Source organism: Homo sapiens, chromosome 2 (genome assembly GCF_000001405.40).
Source record: "Homo sapiens chromosome 2, GRCh38.p14 Primary Assembly".
Taxonomy (NCBI): Eukaryota; Metazoa; Chordata; class Mammalia; order Primates; family Hominidae; genus Homo; species Homo sapiens.
This window is the reverse complement of record NC_000002.12, coordinates 47,656,735-47,674,062: the sequence shown is the minus strand read 5'-3', so window position 1 is coordinate 47,674,062 and position 17,328 is coordinate 47,656,735. Positions and strand designations below refer to the sequence as shown.

The window sequence follows — 17,328 nt, the reverse complement described above, 5'->3', positions numbered from 1 at the left end:
GGCTTTGGGAACAGCTCTCAACTACCTCATTGGCTATTGGCTCAAATACCTCATCTCATTGGCTAGAATTTGGTGCCTCACTTCCCCCCCGATGCAAGGGAGGCTGGGAAGTACAATCTGCATCATACAAGAAGCACTGTCAAATAAATAATCCTTGTACAGGTGTGAGTATCCTTGTACAGGTGTGAGTATCCTTGTACAGGTGTGTTATTAATGTGTGTTCCAAAAGCATATGAGATTCCTAGAAATCTATGTTTTAGTACGTACCATCAGTCATAATTCTAATGTTAAATTGTTGTTTGCTACAGAAATAGCCAAATTTCCTCATCAATTGCATGATTATTATTATGAATTTTTATCATATCTTTAACCATGAGCATTTAAAATCTTGTTGTCCACAGTTAAATAGACAACAAGCTTTATTTGGATGCTTTTTTTCCCCCCTGAAAACTCTTTACAAATCCTTAAGTATTGCTTCTTCAAGGAGGTTCACGGAAAGGATGGAAAGAATGCTGACAAATACAGGTTTCTGACAACTTTGAGATCCTATCATTAAACTGGGTGAAAATTTCCATAACGCTAATGAAAAAAACCCCCACAAAACTGGACTCATAAAGCTTAGACTAACCTAACCACAAATAGAACAAGAATTAATTACATGCAGCTGAGCACAGTGGCTCATGCCTGTAACCCCAGCTCTTTGGCAGGCCGAGAAGGGAGGATCACTTGAGCTCAGGTATTTGAGACAGCCTGGGCAACATAGTGAGACCCTGTCTCTATTTAAAACAAGAAGAAGCCTGGGCATGGTGGCTCACGCCTGTAATCCCAGCACTTTGAGAGGCCGAGGCGGGCGGATCACGAGGTCAGGAGTTGGAGACCAATTTAGCCAACATGGTGAAACCCCATGTCTACTGAAAATACAAAACTTAGCTTGGTGTGGTGGTGGCAGGCGCCTGTAATCCGAGCTACTTGGGAGGCTGAGGCAGGAGAATTGCTTGAACCCGGGAGGCAGAGGTTGCAGTGAACCAAGGTCGCACTACTGCACTCCAGCCTGGGTGACAGAGCAAGACTCCGTCTCGAAAAAAAAAAAGGAAAAAAGAAGAAGAAGAAGTAAAAGAATTAATCACATGGGACTGAAATGATGAAGGACTAAAATGATTTTTAATGACTTTTTTGTTTGAAACATTGCTGATTCTTTTTATGTTTTGTTCTTTTTGTTTTCCGGAGTTAAGGAAACTTTTTTTTTTCCTCTTAAGCTTTACAGGAATAATATAAAGTATACTTGTTCTTTTTTTTTTTTTTTTTTTTTTTTTTTTTTGAGACAGAATCTTGCTCTGCTGCCCAGGCTGGAGTGTAGTGGTACGATCTTGGCTCACTGCAAGCTCCGCCTCCCGGGTTCACACCATTCTCCTGCCTCAGCCTCCCGAGTAGCTGGGACTACAGGCATCTGCCACCATGCCCGAACGAAGGGGTTTCACTGTGTTAGTCAGGATGGTCTCGATCTCCTGACCTCGTTATCCGCCTGCCTCGGCCTCCCAAAGTGCTGGGATTACAGGGGTGAGCCACCGTGCCCAGCCATATAAAGTATACTTTTATGAACAAAATTGAAACATGGATGTTTCTTTTTTTTTTTTTTTTTGAGACAGAGTCTCGCTCTGTCGCCCAGGCTGGAGTGCAGTGGCGGGATCTCGGCTCACTGCAAGCTCCGCCTCCCGGGTTAACGCCATTCTCCTGCCTCAGCCTCCCAAGTAGCTGGGACTACAGGCGCCCGCCACTACGCCCGGCTAATTTTTTGTATTTTTAGTAGAGACGAGGTTTCACCGTTTTAGCCGGGATGGTCTCGATCTCCTGACCTCGTGATCCGCCCGCCTCGGCCTCCCAAAGTGCTGGGATTACAGGCGTGAGCCACCGCGCCCGGCCGGATGTTTCTTTATGCCTGATTTTTTCAGAATTTGGAAACTATTTGTGAGTATTCATATTTTATGGCAATATAGTAAGTACAAGGCAATATAGTTTACTATAAAAATTTATTTGTATAAGTTCAATAATCTGTTCTTCTAACAACACGATTGGAGACATTCTGTTGTTTGTTTTTGTTCTTTTTTACTGAAGCTTTGACTGGAATGTCATATTTTCAGATATGACCAAACAGCTTTAAAAAATTGAGGTTGGCATTATGAAGCCAATAGAAGTTCCTGGAAAAACTGGCCTAGTACCTTAAATACATGGTTCACATGGTTGCCCTGTGGTAAGTAAAGAATGCCACTTTCTGACAGGCCTAGGAACTTCAGGATATTTTGGGGATCTCAAGAAGAGAGAAATTAATCCAGTTTGTACAGGTGTTACAGACATAGTCTAAGGATGAGTCAAATCCTTGGCTTGGCTTCGTAGCCTTGAGAGGCTTTAAAAAGTCTAATCTGAGATTCCTTATGAAAAGTTCCAGCAAAGCTTTTAAAAACAGCCTATATTGGCCAGGCATGGTGGCTCACACCTGTAATCCCAACACTTTGGGAGGCTGATGCGAGTGGATCACCTGAGGTCAGAAGTTTGGGAGCAGCCTGGCCAACATGGCAAAACCCCGTCTCTACTAAAAACACAAAAATTATCTGGGCCTGGTGGAACACACCTGTAGTCCCAGCTACTAGGGAGGCCGAGGCAGGACAATCGCTTGAACCCAGGAGATGGAGGTTGCAGTGAGCTGAGATCGCGCCACTGCACTCCAGCCTATGCGAGAGAGTGAGACTCCATCTCAAAAAAAAAAAAAAGAGCCTATAAGATAAATCACTATTCTTGCTAAACTTATGTATGTAATCAGGCCAAAGACTAAACTTATTTTGCAAAGAAATTGATCTTACTATGATTTGGTAGAAATGACAACTGGAGAGGAGAAAAATATGTTTCAGAAGAAAACTATAGTGTACCTGTTGTAAGAGTCCAGCCCTGTTCATTGTTTTTGAATTTGCATTATTTGCCTACAATTTGTACTGAACCCTGAATATTTTCCTGGCTATAAGTCTACAAACTAACTTTTCCAAATTTTTATCCCAATTTTCTGACTTGGACTCACTGAAATTAAAACTGTCTTTTTCATGAGGCCTTACAAGCCTAAGCTAATAAACTTGGTTTTGAAAAAGAATCAATGCAACAGCTTATATTTGAAGAAAATTTACATGCCAACTGTAATCTAGAAAAAATCTGTCAGCTAGCTACTGGTCTTCTGACCTAACTGTCTTCCAGACTCTAGAGGGACTAGTTCGTAGACCACTCCAGACATTGGCCTTTGTTTTTCTTCTGTTTCCATAAAAATGCCTCCTATTAAGGATATATTTGCCTGCGTCATATATAGAGGCCTAGCTTTGAGATCCCATCTGCAACTCCATTTTCTAAAATGAGACACAACTGTTTAATTGGACTGGCCTATTCCCAGAAATGAGAGACTGGTTTAATTGGATATTTTACCACTCAGTTACTAACCTGATTTCTCTCTCCACAACCATAACTCAACTTATAGTGTACAAAACTTCTAGGGAAGTTTCAGACTGGGGAAATGAAGGAGACTAGGGAATTTCATCCCAAAATATGGCACCGTAGTATTGCAGATTACTTTATATTAATGGCTGCGCGTGTGGCTATAATGTCAGCACTTTGGGAGGCTGAGGTGGGCTGATCGCTTGAGCTCAGGAGTTTGAGATCAGGCTGGGCAACATGGCAAAACCCTGTCTCTATCAAAAAAAAAAAAAAAAAAATATATATATATATATATATATATATATATATATATATATATATATACACAAAAAGTTGGCTGGGCATTGTGGCACGTGCCTGTACTCCCAGCTTCTTAGGAGGCTGAGGTGGGAGGATCACTGGAGCCCAGAAGGTCAAGGTTGCAGTGAGCCAAGACAGCACCACTGCACTCCAGCCTGGGTGCCAGAGTGAGGTCCTCTCTCAACAATTAATGAATTAAAGGCCCTTGGAGACCAGCAGATGGTGGAAGAAGCTTTACTCTGCTATTCCCTTATCTACCTAAAGTCTGAACCTGCCAAAGAAGAAAACTATTACTTCTGGTTTCTTCCCTGAGTTTTCATTAATTTAACTCACATCTCAGGAAGAGAGACTGAAGTCTGTCAACACACCTGAACAGATTTTTGTCACAAACTATTGTCTGCTTTGCGGGCCCAATAAACTTAGTCCTCGGCCATTATATGTTCTCCAAGGCCATTACATTCCTCTAACTATCATGTACTATCCCCAAAATTGCCACATTTCTCTTACCTCCCCTTACTCTATCAAAAAGGGTACATATGCCTCTGTACCCCATTGGGTTATTGAGTCATCATTCTCTTGCAATTTCCCTGTGCTATGGACATTAAATTTTGTCTGTCTTTTCTTCTATTCATTTGTCTTTTGTCAGTTGCTTTTCAGCAAACCTTCAGAGGATGAAGGAGAAGCTTTCCCTCAGTCCCTACAGTGGAACAAATGGCCCCTCACACATTGCTGTTGGGAATGCAAAATGTGCAGTCACTTTGGAACATGGTTTGGCAGTTTCTTTTAAATTAAGCATGCACTTACCAACTCTCTTGTGCTTAATGTAACTGCAGTCTAGTTATCTTTTAGGTATAACACAGCCCAAACTGCAAGTGATGTAGCTTGGGCATGCACAATAGAAAAAGCTTTGACCTCTAACGACACTTAGAACCAATGGTTTCTTCCTATGGAACCAGAAATATATGACCAGAACCTGAACACCAAAACTCTTTCAGAAGTGAGGGTCCATTGGCCAGGAAAATCTGATGCTGAAATCTGCCTCCACATACCTTACCATAAATGATCACATTTGAAGCTCTCCAATCAGACCCTGCCAACCCAACGTCTATAATATTTTCCCTTGCACATCAGCTCCTTAAAGCTTTCCCCAGACCTCAAATCGCAGAGACACATTTGAGCTGCGTCTCCTGTCTCCTTGCTGGTCCACCTTGCACTAAAGCCTTTCTTTTCTGAGAAGCCAGTGCCATAGCATTGGCTTTAATTATTTATTTATTTATTTATATTTTGGGATGGAGTTTTGCTTCACCCAGGCTACAGTGCAGTGGTGCCATCATACCTCATTGCAGCCTTGACCTCCTGGGCTCAAGGGATCCTCCCGTCTCAGTTTCTCAAGTAGCTGGGACTACAGCTCTGTGCTACCATGCCCAGCTTATTTATTTATTTATTTTGTAGAGACAGTGTCTCGCTATGTTGCCCATACTGTTCTAGAACTCCTGCAAATTCTATTTTTTTTTTTCCGAGACGGAGTCTTGCTCTGTCGCCCAGGCTGGAGTGCAGTGGTGCGATCTCAGCTCATTGCAAGCTCCACCTCCCGGGTTCACGCCATTCTCCTGCCTCAGCCTCCTGAGTAGCTGGGACTACAGGAGCCCGCCACCACACCCGGCTAATTTTTTTTGTACTTTTAGTAGAGACGGGGTTTCACTGTGTTAGCCAGGATGGTCTTAATCTCCTGACCTCATGATCCACCCGCCTTGGCCTCCCAAAGTGCTGGGATTACAGGCGTGAGCCACCACACCTGGCAGCATTGGCTTTCTATGCATGCCAGGCAGTAAGCCCACTGCTTGGTAACAATGTTTCTGCCTGCTTTCATCATGGCCCCCTCTAGTCTGTTTGTAACACAGAGTAATCCCTTTAAAACCAAAGTCTGATCTTGTCTTCTCCTCTGCTCCTGACTCTTACACAGTGTCCCTTGAAGAGCAAAGTGGCTGCTGAGACCACTGCATAATTTTGCCCCTCCTCCCCCACACCCACCTTCTAGCCAACTCTGCTGCCCACACACCCAGGTAGCTGAAGTGGAGGTTTCCAGATGCTTCCGGTATTGCTCCCAGAGGAACTCCTTTGAAAAAACAAACAGATCCTCCCCTCCTCATAGCCCCTGGCCAGGAGAGAGTCCATCCTCTAACTTTGCCATTTCTCAGAAACTCCAGGCACACACCAGCTCATCTCCTTTGACCTTTCTGTTGCTTCGTCCTAGAACATATCCGCAAGGCCTGCTCCCTTACCTCCCTCAGACTTTGACATAAAGCTTGTTTTCTGTTTTTTTTTTTTTTTTTTTTTGTTGTTGTTGTTGTTGTTTTGTTTTAGATGGAGTCTCGCTCTGTCACCCAGGCTGGAGGGCAGTGGTGTGATCTCAGCTCACTGCAACCTCTGCCTGCCAGGTTCAAGCAGTCCTCCTGCCTCAGCCTCCTGAGTAGCTGGGACTACAGGCACACACCACCATGCCTGGCTAATTTTTTGTATTTTAGTAGAGACGGGGTTTCACCATGCTGGCCAGGCTGGTCTCAAACTCCTGACCTCGTGATCTGCCTGCTTCGGCCTCCCAAAGTACTGGGATTATAGGCATGAGCCACCGCGCCTGGCCTCAAAACTTGTTTTCGCAGTGAGGCTTTCTTTGGATACCTCTTCTAAAACTGCAACCTCTTCCTGACCCCAAGTCGTGCCTTGCTTCACTTCTCCACACTCAATGTCTTCCAATTTGCTCTATAGTTTTCTTATTGTCCCTCTCCACACCAGGATGGCAGGAATTTTTATCTGTTCCCTTTGCTGCTATTTCCCCAGGGCCTGGCATGTTCTGGAAGCTCATGTTGAATGAATGAGAGCTTCAAGGCTCAAATGAAGTTTTACTCCTCCCAAAAGCCTCCCCAGTAGCAGCACAGCCATCATTAACTCTCTTCTCTGATCTCCAGACTGTTTTCCTTGCAATTCTTCCTGTGTATTAGCTGCATCCCCGCTACACTCCCCTTATACTTGCCTGTGAGCTCCTCAAGGGCAGGGACCATGTCTTTGCCTTCCCTGGCATCAAGTATGGCTTGAAGCATGCCCTGGGTACTCAAGAAATGCTTGATTTTATTTTTTTGAGACGGAGTCTTGCTCTGTTGCCCAGGCTAGAGTGCAGTGGCAGATCTTGGCTCACTGCAACCTCCACCTCCCGAGTTCAAGTGATTCTCCTGCCTCAGCCTCCTAAGTAGCTGGGATTACAGGTGTGGGCCACTACGCCTGGCTAATTTTTTGTATTTTTAGTAGAGACAGGGTTTCACCATGTTGGCCAGGCTGGTCTCAAACTCCTGACCTCAAGTGATCCACCTGCCTTGGCCTCCCAAAGTGCTGGGATTACAGGCATGAGCCACCGCGACTGGCCTGATTCTAGTTTCTTGGGAGTGGGTGCCTTTTTGTAAGGGAGAAAAAGTAATATATTTTCCTCATTCATAGATAGATTCATAGCTGAAACCCCTCTAACAAAAGATAGATTAATAAGAGAAAAGCATAAAACATTTGCTTAATACAAGTTTTATGTGACACAAGAATCTTCAGAAATGAAGACCCAATGAAACAAGGAAATCTGTGAATATTTATGCTTAGGTCTGAAGAATAGACAGTCATACAGAAGCATGATGGGAAGACAGAAGGACATGACCTAATGGGAATAAACTGGGGGGAACTCAGCAAGATCTGTTTGCTCAGGTGCTTTGTGGCATCTCTGTGTGACATTCCTTTCCTCTGGGTATAGGGTAGGACAATTGTCACATGAAAGTCTTCAGGCAAGAAGGGCAGGGGAAGGTGAGAGTGACCTTTCTCCTTCTGCTTTTTTCTGTTTCCAAGATGCCATATTTTTGGGTAGTATTTCCTACACCTCATGATTGTGAAAGCCTGCAGCATTTAGATGGACAGCTGCCCCTTTGTTCAAAGCCTTGGATGCATTTGCTGAGAAGGTCCCTGGATACAAGACAATGCCATCAGTCTATCATTTCTGAGGAAGAGGTTCTTAAATAAAGGAGAAATTGGAAGGAAAAAATCAATTAGGATCAGGGAGATGGCTGCTCTGTGCCACCCCTTTCTCCCTTAGCTAAAGTGGCTTTTGATTGGACTGGGCTGTCTCTGAGCTGGAGCAGAAGTTAATCGAAGGCCATTTTTCTTTCTTTGCAAGGAGCAATGTTAATCAGAACAGCGAGAGCTTGAGTGTCAACTCTGCACTTATATAAAAATGGCCTTGGGGATGAACGTGCAACAATTATCCCGTGACCAGAGTCTTTTTCAGGAAGGACAAACCCAAGATTAGTGGTTAATGCTGAATCCCAAGGAGTCTTGCCCTGAAGCTGAGGAAATAATCCTGATACTGTGTATTTCCAGCTCAGGACCATTTGCAGGCCGGGTGCGCTGGCTCACGCCTGTAATCCCAGCACTTTGGGAGGCCGAGGTGGGTGGATCACAAGGTCAGGAGATCCAGACCATCCTGGCTAACATGGCGAAACCCCATCTCTACTAAAAATACAAAAAATTAGCTGAGTGTGGTGGCAGACACCTGTAGTCCCAGCTACTCGGGAGGCTGAGGCAGGAGAATGGCGTGAACCCGGGAGGCGGAGCTTGCAGTGAGCCGAGATTGTGCCACTGCACTCCAGCCTGGGTGACAGAGCGAGACTCCGTCTCAAAAAAAAAAAAAAAAAAAAAAGACCATTTGCAAAGGGGGCCTGTGCTTTCAAAATGGAAAGAAAATTAGACAGTAGTTTCTTGAGGGGAGGGGGATGTGGTACTGTTTTAAAATAAGTTAAACTACTGAGGAGCACAGAGGAACAGAAAGAAAAAAATTCTTATGTTCCAGCTCAGAATTCTGTCACTTACCAGCTATATGATGCAGGCAAGCCATGCGGCTTCTCTAAGCCTCAATTTCCTCATCTGTAAATAGAGACAATGATTTCTGTCTATCATTGTGTGAATTAAATTAGATCATATATGGGAAAGGCCATAGACAAAGTATAAATCCCACTACAAATGTGGGGTATGATATTATTTGGTAAAGGCACATTGTACCGATAGTACCCTCCAGGAGCCAGCCGAGTTGGGAAGAGGGCACGGACCAATGGAATGACAAGGGACAGCCCAAGTGTGACCTGGGGTCACCCTGTCCCCATCAGAGTTCAATAAGAACTCCTTGAACTCCCATTCCTGTCCAGAGTTTTCTTTGCATTCTTGGCAAGAAGGCAGACTTTATAATCTCACTGCAGACCGGCTGAGGATAGGGGGCAGTGTGGCTCAGTGAGTAGAATAGGGACTGTGGAGTCAGGCTGCCTGGGTTGGAATGCTAATTCACCATCTGTGTGAACTTGGGCAAGTTAGGTAACCTCTCTGTGCCTCGGGTTCCTCATCTGTAAAACGAGGTTAATGACCTATACCTCATTGGATTGTTGTGAGGATTAAACGAAGTTATGAGCAAAGTGTTCAGAAAAGCACTTAGAGAAACACTGAGTGTCGTACTCACCTCAGGTTCCAGGCTCCCCGAAACAGATGCAGTTTATAAGGCATCTCTTCATCCCAAATGTGCTCACCCTGCCCTGTGCCAGCCACAGAACTTGGCCCCTCTCCTTGGCTTATCTTAAAACAAATAAAGGCAAAAGCAAAAGTAAAAAGGCACACACCAAAGGCTCTTTTGGGCCGGGCATGGTGGCTCATGCCTGTAATCCCAGCACTTTGGGAGGCCAAGGTGGGTGGATCACCTAAGGTCAGGAGTTCAAGACCAGCCTGGCCAACATGGTGAAACCCCTTGTCTACTAAAAATACAAACATTAGCCGGGCATGGTGGCATGCGCCCGTAATCCCAGCAACTCAGGAGGCTGAGGCAGTAGAATCGCTTGAACCTGGGAGGTGAAGGTTGCAGTGAGCCAAGATCGTGCCACTGCACTCCAACCTGGGCAACAGAGCAAGACTTCATCTCAAAAATAAATAAATACATAAAAATAAAGGCTATTTTGGCCTTAGAAAACTTTACTGAAGTACTGAAAGAAGTGGAGGAAATTTACACAAACATCTTAAAACGTAGACAGCTTGTGTTTAAAAGTCTCTACTGTGCATCTGCCAACCTGCTTCTGCCATGTCACTGGGTCTCTCTGCCCTTCCCCTTTCATGAGCAAATGCTTCCCCCAGCCCCATCCCATTCTGCCATGTCTTGTGAAAAGAAATTCAGCCCTCACTTTCTACAGCTTCTTCCTTCCAGGTCCTGCCTCGGGGCCTACCTTCTCATAACCAGATGGTTGTAACAGTATTTTCCTAAACCAAGACAATTTCCTTTCTAAGCAGGATTCTGGTGTTGCCTGGTAAGATAGCACATACCGTTTTCTCACCCTACTATAAACTCAAAAGTCATGAGATTGGATTTTGGGTTTTGAGTTGCCAATGGTTAGAGGAAAAAGGGGGAGCTCTCTGGTAGAGACCAAGTGTATTGAAATATGTAATAAGGCAGCTTTAGGCTAAACTTGATTTAACAAATCTAATAACGATGCAGTGTAATTCTCTCTTGAAACATAATTTTTCTCTCTAAAGTAACCCCTATTTCAATCACAGATAATCACAGTAAGACTAATTTGTTTGCAAAAGTCAGTTTAGAATCATTGTATTTGGCCTACTTATTTACAGAAGCACAGAAAGAATAGATTGATCATATATGCTCTTTTAAAATCTGCTTTGCTAGAACTTCTCATAAGGAATCTTAGAGTATAATTTTAAAAGTCACTCTAGGCTAGGAAGCCAAGTTATAGACTTACCGTCAGATTTTCCCTGTAATACATATAGATCTGGGTGAATTCCTCTCTTATCGAGGTCCCCAAATTATCCTGAGGTTCCTGGATCTGACCGGAAGTGACTTGCCTTACTCACCTGTAAGGGAATCATGTAAAAGAACCCTGCATGCAAAGTACCAGGATTTTTTTTTTCCAAGGGGTTTTATTGAGTCCACAAATTTAACCTTAGCTTCTTAAAACTTATCTAGTCAAATCTGATTCTATGCACATCATTCTCAACTATGACATCCCAGTGAAGGCCTTTTACCAATTGTATCTTGTTAAAAGGAGAACAGATTTTAATTGAATTTGTACAAATAACTTTATTGCCATGAACATAAGAGCACTCAATACGAGTTTGGTATTTGGCAGTACCATCCAGAGGTAGAGAAAACACCACATATGCATACTATACATACACAGATATACATAAACAGATAGATGCAAACAGAAATCTTCAAGTTTTTATTTAAAAATTTTAGCCATGTGCCAGGTACCGTAACATAAAACTCCCTAGTTTATAAAAGAGTAATTGGATCTAAATTATGTTTCTGGCAGATGGAATAAGTTAAGATTACTCTCTCAGATGGATAAAGCTTTTTACTACTTGTGGTAAAGACTTGAAATTTTTAAAAATGCCAGTTGGTTTCTAAATAGCTTTCTCCCCTCCCCCACCTTCTTCTGAGCATCTTCTCCCCAAAATTTGCATCTCAAAAAGATGCTGCTTAGGTCCTAGAGAAGACAGGGTAGAAAATTTACATATTAAAGGCACGGAGAAAGGATATATTTTCTCCCAGAAGGAGTTTTGGTGTTATTTGCTTATTATCAGAGGTCATATGGAGGCTGTGGACTAAATTTTAGGCAATTACTGAGGAGACTCTAGCAGCTGTCTGAATGTCTCCAAAGACCATCTGAGTGGATAAAATATCCAGTTATTTCTAATTAACCCTTTTCCTTTTCAGCTTCAGAGAGTTGACCTGGGGGACCCTCAGTCCCTTGAGATCAGTGGAGCCAAAAGCTCAAGTGACTGAGGGTCTGGAATAGGAAAGAAAAGAGTTTGGCAGGGGTGGATGGAAAGTTGGAGGAGGTGAGGCAGGAAAATAGGGTCTAGAGGCAGGGAACTTAAAGCCAGTGCACACTTCAACTATGACAGGAAATATCCTCTCGATTTTGTGTGTGTGTGTGTGTGTGTGTGTGTGTGTGAGACAGAGTCTCACTCTGTCGCCCAGGCTGGAGTGCAGTGGCGCGATCTTGGCTCACTGCAACCTCCACCTCCTAAGTTCAAGTGATTCTTCTGCCTCAGCCTCCTGAGATTTACAGGTGCGTGCCACCACACCTGGCTAATTTTTTTTGTATTTCTTTTAGTAAGGCAGGGTTTCACCATGTTGGCCAGGCTGGTCTTGAACTCCTGACCTCAGGTGATCCACCCTCCTTGGCCTCCCAAAGTGCTGGGATTACAGGCGTGAGCCACCATGCCCGGGCGTTCTGAAAGTTTTTCTTTAGTCCATTGATGTTAAAGTTATCAGAAATCTGTATTCAGGAATACCCATTAGAGTATTCTTCATGAAAATCAATTTAGGACTATAGATCACTGCAAATGCTTTTAGAGAAGAATTTAAAACAATAGCATGAATGACAGGCCAGGCATGGTGGCTCATACCTGTCCTGTAATCCCAGAACTTTGGGAAGCCAAGGCAGGTAGATGACTTGAGGCTAGTTTGAGACTGGCCTGGCAAACATGGTGAAACCATGTCTCTACCAAAAATACAAAAATTAGCCAGGCATGGTGGCACGTGCCTCTAATCCTAGCTACGCGGGAGGCTGAGGCACAAGAATCTCTTGAATCTAGAAGGCAGAGGCTTCAGTGAGCCGAGATTGTGCCACTGTACTCCAGCCTAGGTAACAGTGAGACTCTGTCTCAAAAAATAAAATAAAATAAAATAAAATAAAATAAAATAAAATAAAATAAAATAAAATAAAATAAAATAGCTGTGGATGACGACAACTTAAAATAGCCATGGTTAAATCTATGAAAGTGTTCAACTGACAAAGAAATTTAATTATTTCTATTATGTGCAGCATTTTAAGATAACAACCAGAATTATGACTGACCATATCACATCAGGATCGTCAAGACTTTGATAAATTTAATATAATCATTAGAATATTCACATTAATAACATACCTATACAAATATAACTTTAGAAAAGATTTAACATAACAAAATTATGACTGATAACATTTTAGATTTTTATAACATTATATAATTTGGGGAACATTTATATCAATAAATGTAACTGAAAGAAGATCTAGCATCAATTATCATTTGACAATTTCCTCCCATACAATTTACCTTAGCCAGGCATGGTGGCATGAGTCTGTGGTCCCAGCTACTTGGGAGGTTGAGGTAGGAGGATCGCTTGAGTCCAGGAGGCAGAGGTTGCAGTGAGCCGAGATCGTGGCATTGCACTCCAGCCTGGGTGACAGAATGACACCTTGTCTCAAAAAAAAAAAAGAAAAAGAAAAAGAAAAAATAATCTGTATTCCATACAATTTACCAAATAAGTCTAATCATTTAATATCTCTACAGGATGAGAGATACATTCTTTGAAGATTTCCAGGGGCCTAACTTGAAAATGCCAAAGTTAATTCTAGGCCAAAAAGACTTAATTTAGTATTTTGATGCTGGGGAAACCTATCAAAGATGTCAAAAGTTTCCAAACACTTGATAAAAACAGAATCACAGGTCATTATAAAACAATACTTATTTGTTTAACCAGAGTGATCATCAAAAGACCTTAAAAACAATACAGAAAGTTACATGGATGTAAAAACCTTAACCCTTTTACAGGTCAGCTTTTCTAAGTACTCAACCTAATAAAGACAATGCTGGAATTATCTTGATAAAATGGAAAAACTGTGTGTGTGTTTTTTAGGCCAGTTACCAAAAAGGTAAAGAAGAACCGCCTGTACTGTGACTGCTTCTCCTTATGGGAAGACTGTTTAGCTAACTGGGAAGTCAAACCTGATGAAAAAGGTACTTGAATTTAATTAGACACAAGCAGAGTGTGTCTAGGGCTATGTGTATACACTACATTAAGGAATGTAAACAAGAAAACTAGTACCTTGAGGAAGGGCATAATAGCTCTTAGTAACAGCATGAGAAGTCCCCTGGTTACATGGAACAATTCCGACATATCAGGAAAAGCCAAGATTACAGAATCAAGTTATGCTAGAAGAAAACATTGCTTTTTCTAGACCTTCAAGATGAAACATTTCTGTGTCAGGCCACAACGGCAAAGTTAGAGCCACAGGAAAAAAAGTTCCAGGAGTTGACAAAAATAAGGAGACAGTTATCCCAGCCAAGCGAAAAGATAGACCTTTTCAAAGGGAAACAGAACAGAAGGCAATGATGTATGACCTGCAAGCCACGTGTGGTGAGGTACAGTAAAAGTTGAACTTCTGAGATATAAATCTGATGCTCTGGGTTGTGCGTGGGGTTAGCCCTAGGGAAATCGTTAAATGGGGGATGGGGTCTGCATCACCTCCCCACACTGAGGCTCTTGGATCCACTGAACATTTACCCCCACCCCAAATCTAGAGGCATGCCTTGCTGGACAGAACCCTGTACAATCAAATGATATTCTTCCTGGCCAGCGCTGTGGCGGGTGGATTACCTGAGGTTGGGAGTTAGAGACCAGCCTGGCCAACATGGTGAAACCCCGTCTCTACTAGAAATACAAAAATTAGCCGGGCGTGGTGGCGCACACCTGTAATTCCAGCCACTCAGGAGGCTGAAGGACAAGAATTAGAGGTGGAGGCAGGAGGTGGAGATTACAGTGAGCTGAGATCCCACCACTGCACTCCAGCCTGGGGGACAGAGCAAGACTTCGTCTCAAAAAAAAAAAAAAAAAAATGCTCTTCTGCCTGACCCAAGCTGAATCCTCCCCATTTGCAGCCGTACACCGAGTTGCCAGCCCCATGGGATATGGCCAGGGCCTCAAGGCAAAGGCTACCAACATGTGTGGGTCTCCTCAGGGCACACTCCTTATTTTGTCTGACTATGGGTGTGCATTTACAGTCTGGGGTGAAGATGTGCCTCTAGAAGCACTAATGGTGAAGTTTCAGGACTATCACAACCTGGCCTTGCTCTAGGCTACAAAGTTACCCCTTGAGGACAGCCACCAATCAAGATGCTGGAAGGGATCTACCTGGCTCTTAGAGGACAATGCCATCAGCCTCAGGGCACCCATGTGTGTTGCAGGGGTAGTGCCAAAAAGGCTTTGCCTGGGCCCTGGAGCCTTCCCTCGGGGCTCTCTGCTCCTCTCGGCACTAGGTCTCTCTGACCGGATCCCCTCTGACGTCAGGCTGGGACTGGAGGTCTGGGTAGGGGTGTCCTCTGCAGTTCCACTTGGGTCCAGGCAATCGTTCATCTTCTAAATGCATCATCATTTTATCAGGGTAGAGGGAGCAGGCAGGCAGGAGGGGGAGACGGTGGAGTTGGGTTTGAGGGAGTTTAGGAAAGGAAATGCCACCCCAAAATATGCCACTTTGGTATGTTGATTGCTTGCAACCAAGGGCACGTGGGAGACAGCAGATGCAGGCAGAGGCGTTCTCTGAGCTCCCCTTATCGGCCAAAAGACAGATCCTCCAACCAGAACACCATGGTCATGAGTCTCCTCCCCAGGAATCTCATCAACCAGGGGAATACTGGCCCATGTCACAGGACAGGAGACAGGGGGTAGACACCATACCAAGACAGACTTTGTCACTGGCTGTCACCTACTCTTCTTAGGCTCATCCATCTTTCCCCAAGTCATTTACTTTCCTCTAAGTTGCCTACATCACCCCTCCCCTCTCCCCTGGGAAGAAGGTACATACAAGCTCCAACCCCTTCCCTTCTGGGAATCCCCAAGTTACCAGCAGCAGTTACTGCAGGCCCAGGTAGGAGGGTAGAGGCCGGGTAGGAGGCTGGGTAGGAGGACAGAGTGAAAATCAAGAACCAAAGCAGTTCCTTGGTTTCCATTTCTCAAACTCTGCTGTTTGAAAGCAGAGAAGAAAGAAATGTGCACATGTGCACATATGTGGGTATTCATACCTAACATGTGGACTCCAGGTCTGGAGGGGAGGCGGCTATGCTAACACGAATGCCTGCCTGTGTGTGGGCTCTCAAGTGGGGGCCGTGTGGAAACAGTGTCTCCTTTCTGGTCATCAACAGTCCGCGGCAGTGAGAGGGAGAGACCCAAATGTTTGGGAGACTTGAGTTCCAACCCCACTAGTTCCCTTAACGAGCTGAGGCTTTGGGGCAAAACATTTGACCTCCCTGGGAGTCACCAGGTTTCACAATTCCTCTGTTCATGATTCTGAGACTCACTCAGGAGTGACTTCAGTGGGATGAACCGTCATTCAGAAAAGACCCTGCCTAAGGACTCAGACAGTTTATGTTGTCTGGACACAGGCAGTAGATGACACAGCTTGGCCAGGTCTCAGATCAGGATTCCCCTTCTCCCCTGGTGCCCTGGCAGCCCTGTGGAATATAGGAGCCATGGAAGCCTCTGGGTGTGGCTGAGTTGCTGGATCCCACTTAGTGAATCTTTGCCTGATTGCCTGGTGGGAGCAGAGCTGCCTTGCTCCACAAGGGGCTGGGTGGAATGTGGAGATGACTTTGCTGTGCCTCCATGGCTCCTCAGACCACACCTGGACCCCACTGGGCTCAGCTCCAGTACTCACTGCAGCAGGGACCCAGCTGACACTGTCAGAGGAAGAAGAAACCAGCTCCAGCCTCCATTCACCCTGGGATGGGGTATGGGTGGGCTGGGGTGGTAATGAAGGTCTTCCTCCAGAGAAGGGGTCTAGAGCTCTGAGAAATTGTCCAGAAAGAGCAGAGTCCCTGGCAAGACAAGACTCAGGCAAGCTTCCCTTCCTGCCAGGATCTCAGAGGGAGACCCTGCATCCTCCACACCCGCTCAGTGGTGCAGGGGCGTCAGGCAGTGCACAGCAGTCAGCATTCAGGGCTTTGACTTTTGTCTTTTAGTGTCTCTCCAAAGCCTCCTTATACGGAAACCATAAATACTGACTTCAGGCTACAAAAATGTAGTCTCTGAGAGCACCTGGTCATCCAGTTGATCTTAAAAAATAATCAAATTACTGACAGGCCAGGTGCAGTGGCTCATACCTGTAATCCCATCACTTTGGGAGGCCAAGGCAGGAGAATTGCTTGAGCCTAGGAGTGCGAGATCAGCCTGGGCAATAGAGTGAGACCCTGTCTCTAAAAAACAAACAAACAAACAGAATATAAATATGTTAGCCAGGCATGATGGAGTGCGCCTGTAGTACCAGCTACTTGGGAGGCTGAGGTGGGAGGATAGCTTGAACCCAGGAGGTCAAGGCTGCAATGAGCTAATTGTGCCATTGCACTCCAGCCTGGGCAACAGAGCAAGACCCTGTCTCAAAACAAAACATCAGTGACGGAGAAAAGTATCGGGACTTTTGCAACAGGAATAACACCAAAGTATGCAGGGCTGCATACACAGAGAATGAGTCAAATGACCACAACAGGTTTCTTCATAGCAAGAAAGGGGCTACCTCAGAGGCAAACTCAAGGCTGACAGTTCCCCTTCAGCCCCACAGTTCAAGAAGGAGGGACACCTCCCCTAGTTCCCAGGCTCTCAACTCTTCATGTGCTAGATCCACCACTGTTTCGGCATTTATGCAGCCTAGACTTCCTCTAGCA

The 17,328-nt window shown here is 44.6% G+C and overlaps 1 protein-coding gene across 18 annotated transcripts in view, besides 4 other annotated features; it reads right to left on the bottom strand.

The window, feature by feature from the left end:
- The window catches only part of MSH2 (mutS homolog 2), a 306,764-nt gene that overhangs the window by 35,768 nt on the left and 253,668 nt on the right, over positions 1 to 17,328 (bottom strand). For 6 of the 18 annotated variants that reach the window (NR_176248.1, NR_176246.1, NM_001406633.1 and 3 more), the window contains one exon: positions 12,949 to 13,090. The exons of 4 other annotated variants lie outside the window; for them this stretch is intronic. Coding sequence is in view for 8 of the 14 variants with exons in the window: in NM_001406633.1 (NP_001393562.1) it covers positions 12,949 to 13,090 (142 nt within the window). In the remaining 6 variants the exon portion in view is untranslated. Of the gene's footprint in view, positions 1 to 8,664; positions 8,719 to 10,580; positions 10,693 to 12,948; positions 13,096 to 14,806; positions 15,032 to 16,770; positions 16,864 to 17,328 lie in introns of all 18 variants that reach the window. 8 more of the 18 variants (NR_176247.1, NM_001406632.1, NM_001406640.1 and 5 more) reach the window with 6 other exon arrangements.
- Positions 9,074 to 9,573: an enhancer, noted in NCBI's record as "H3K27ac hESC enhancer chr2:47891629-47892128 (GRCh37/hg19 assembly coordinates)". NCBI's record gives its function as "activates a minimal SCP1, AML or CMV promoter by ChIP-STARR-seq in naive H9 embryonic stem cells {active_cell/tissue: H9 hESC(naive)}" and the evidence as "EXISTENCE:reporter gene assay evidence [ECO:0000049][PMID:30033119]".
- Positions 9,574 to 10,075: an enhancer, noted in NCBI's record as "H3K27ac hESC enhancer chr2:47891127-47891628 (GRCh37/hg19 assembly coordinates)". NCBI's record gives its function as "activates a minimal SCP1, AML or CMV promoter by ChIP-STARR-seq in naive H9 embryonic stem cells {active_cell/tissue: H9 hESC(naive)}" and the evidence as "EXISTENCE:reporter gene assay evidence [ECO:0000049][PMID:30033119]".
- Positions 15,510 to 15,559: an enhancer, noted in NCBI's record as "active region_15736". NCBI's record gives its function as "activates an Ori minimal core promoter by ATAC-STARR-seq in GM12878 lymphoblastoid cells {active_cell/tissue: GM12878}" and the evidence as "EXISTENCE:reporter gene assay evidence [ECO:0000049][PMID:35858748]".
- Positions 15,690 to 15,749: an enhancer, noted in NCBI's record as "active region_15735". NCBI's record gives its function as "activates an Ori minimal core promoter by ATAC-STARR-seq in GM12878 lymphoblastoid cells {active_cell/tissue: GM12878}" and the evidence as "EXISTENCE:reporter gene assay evidence [ECO:0000049][PMID:35858748]".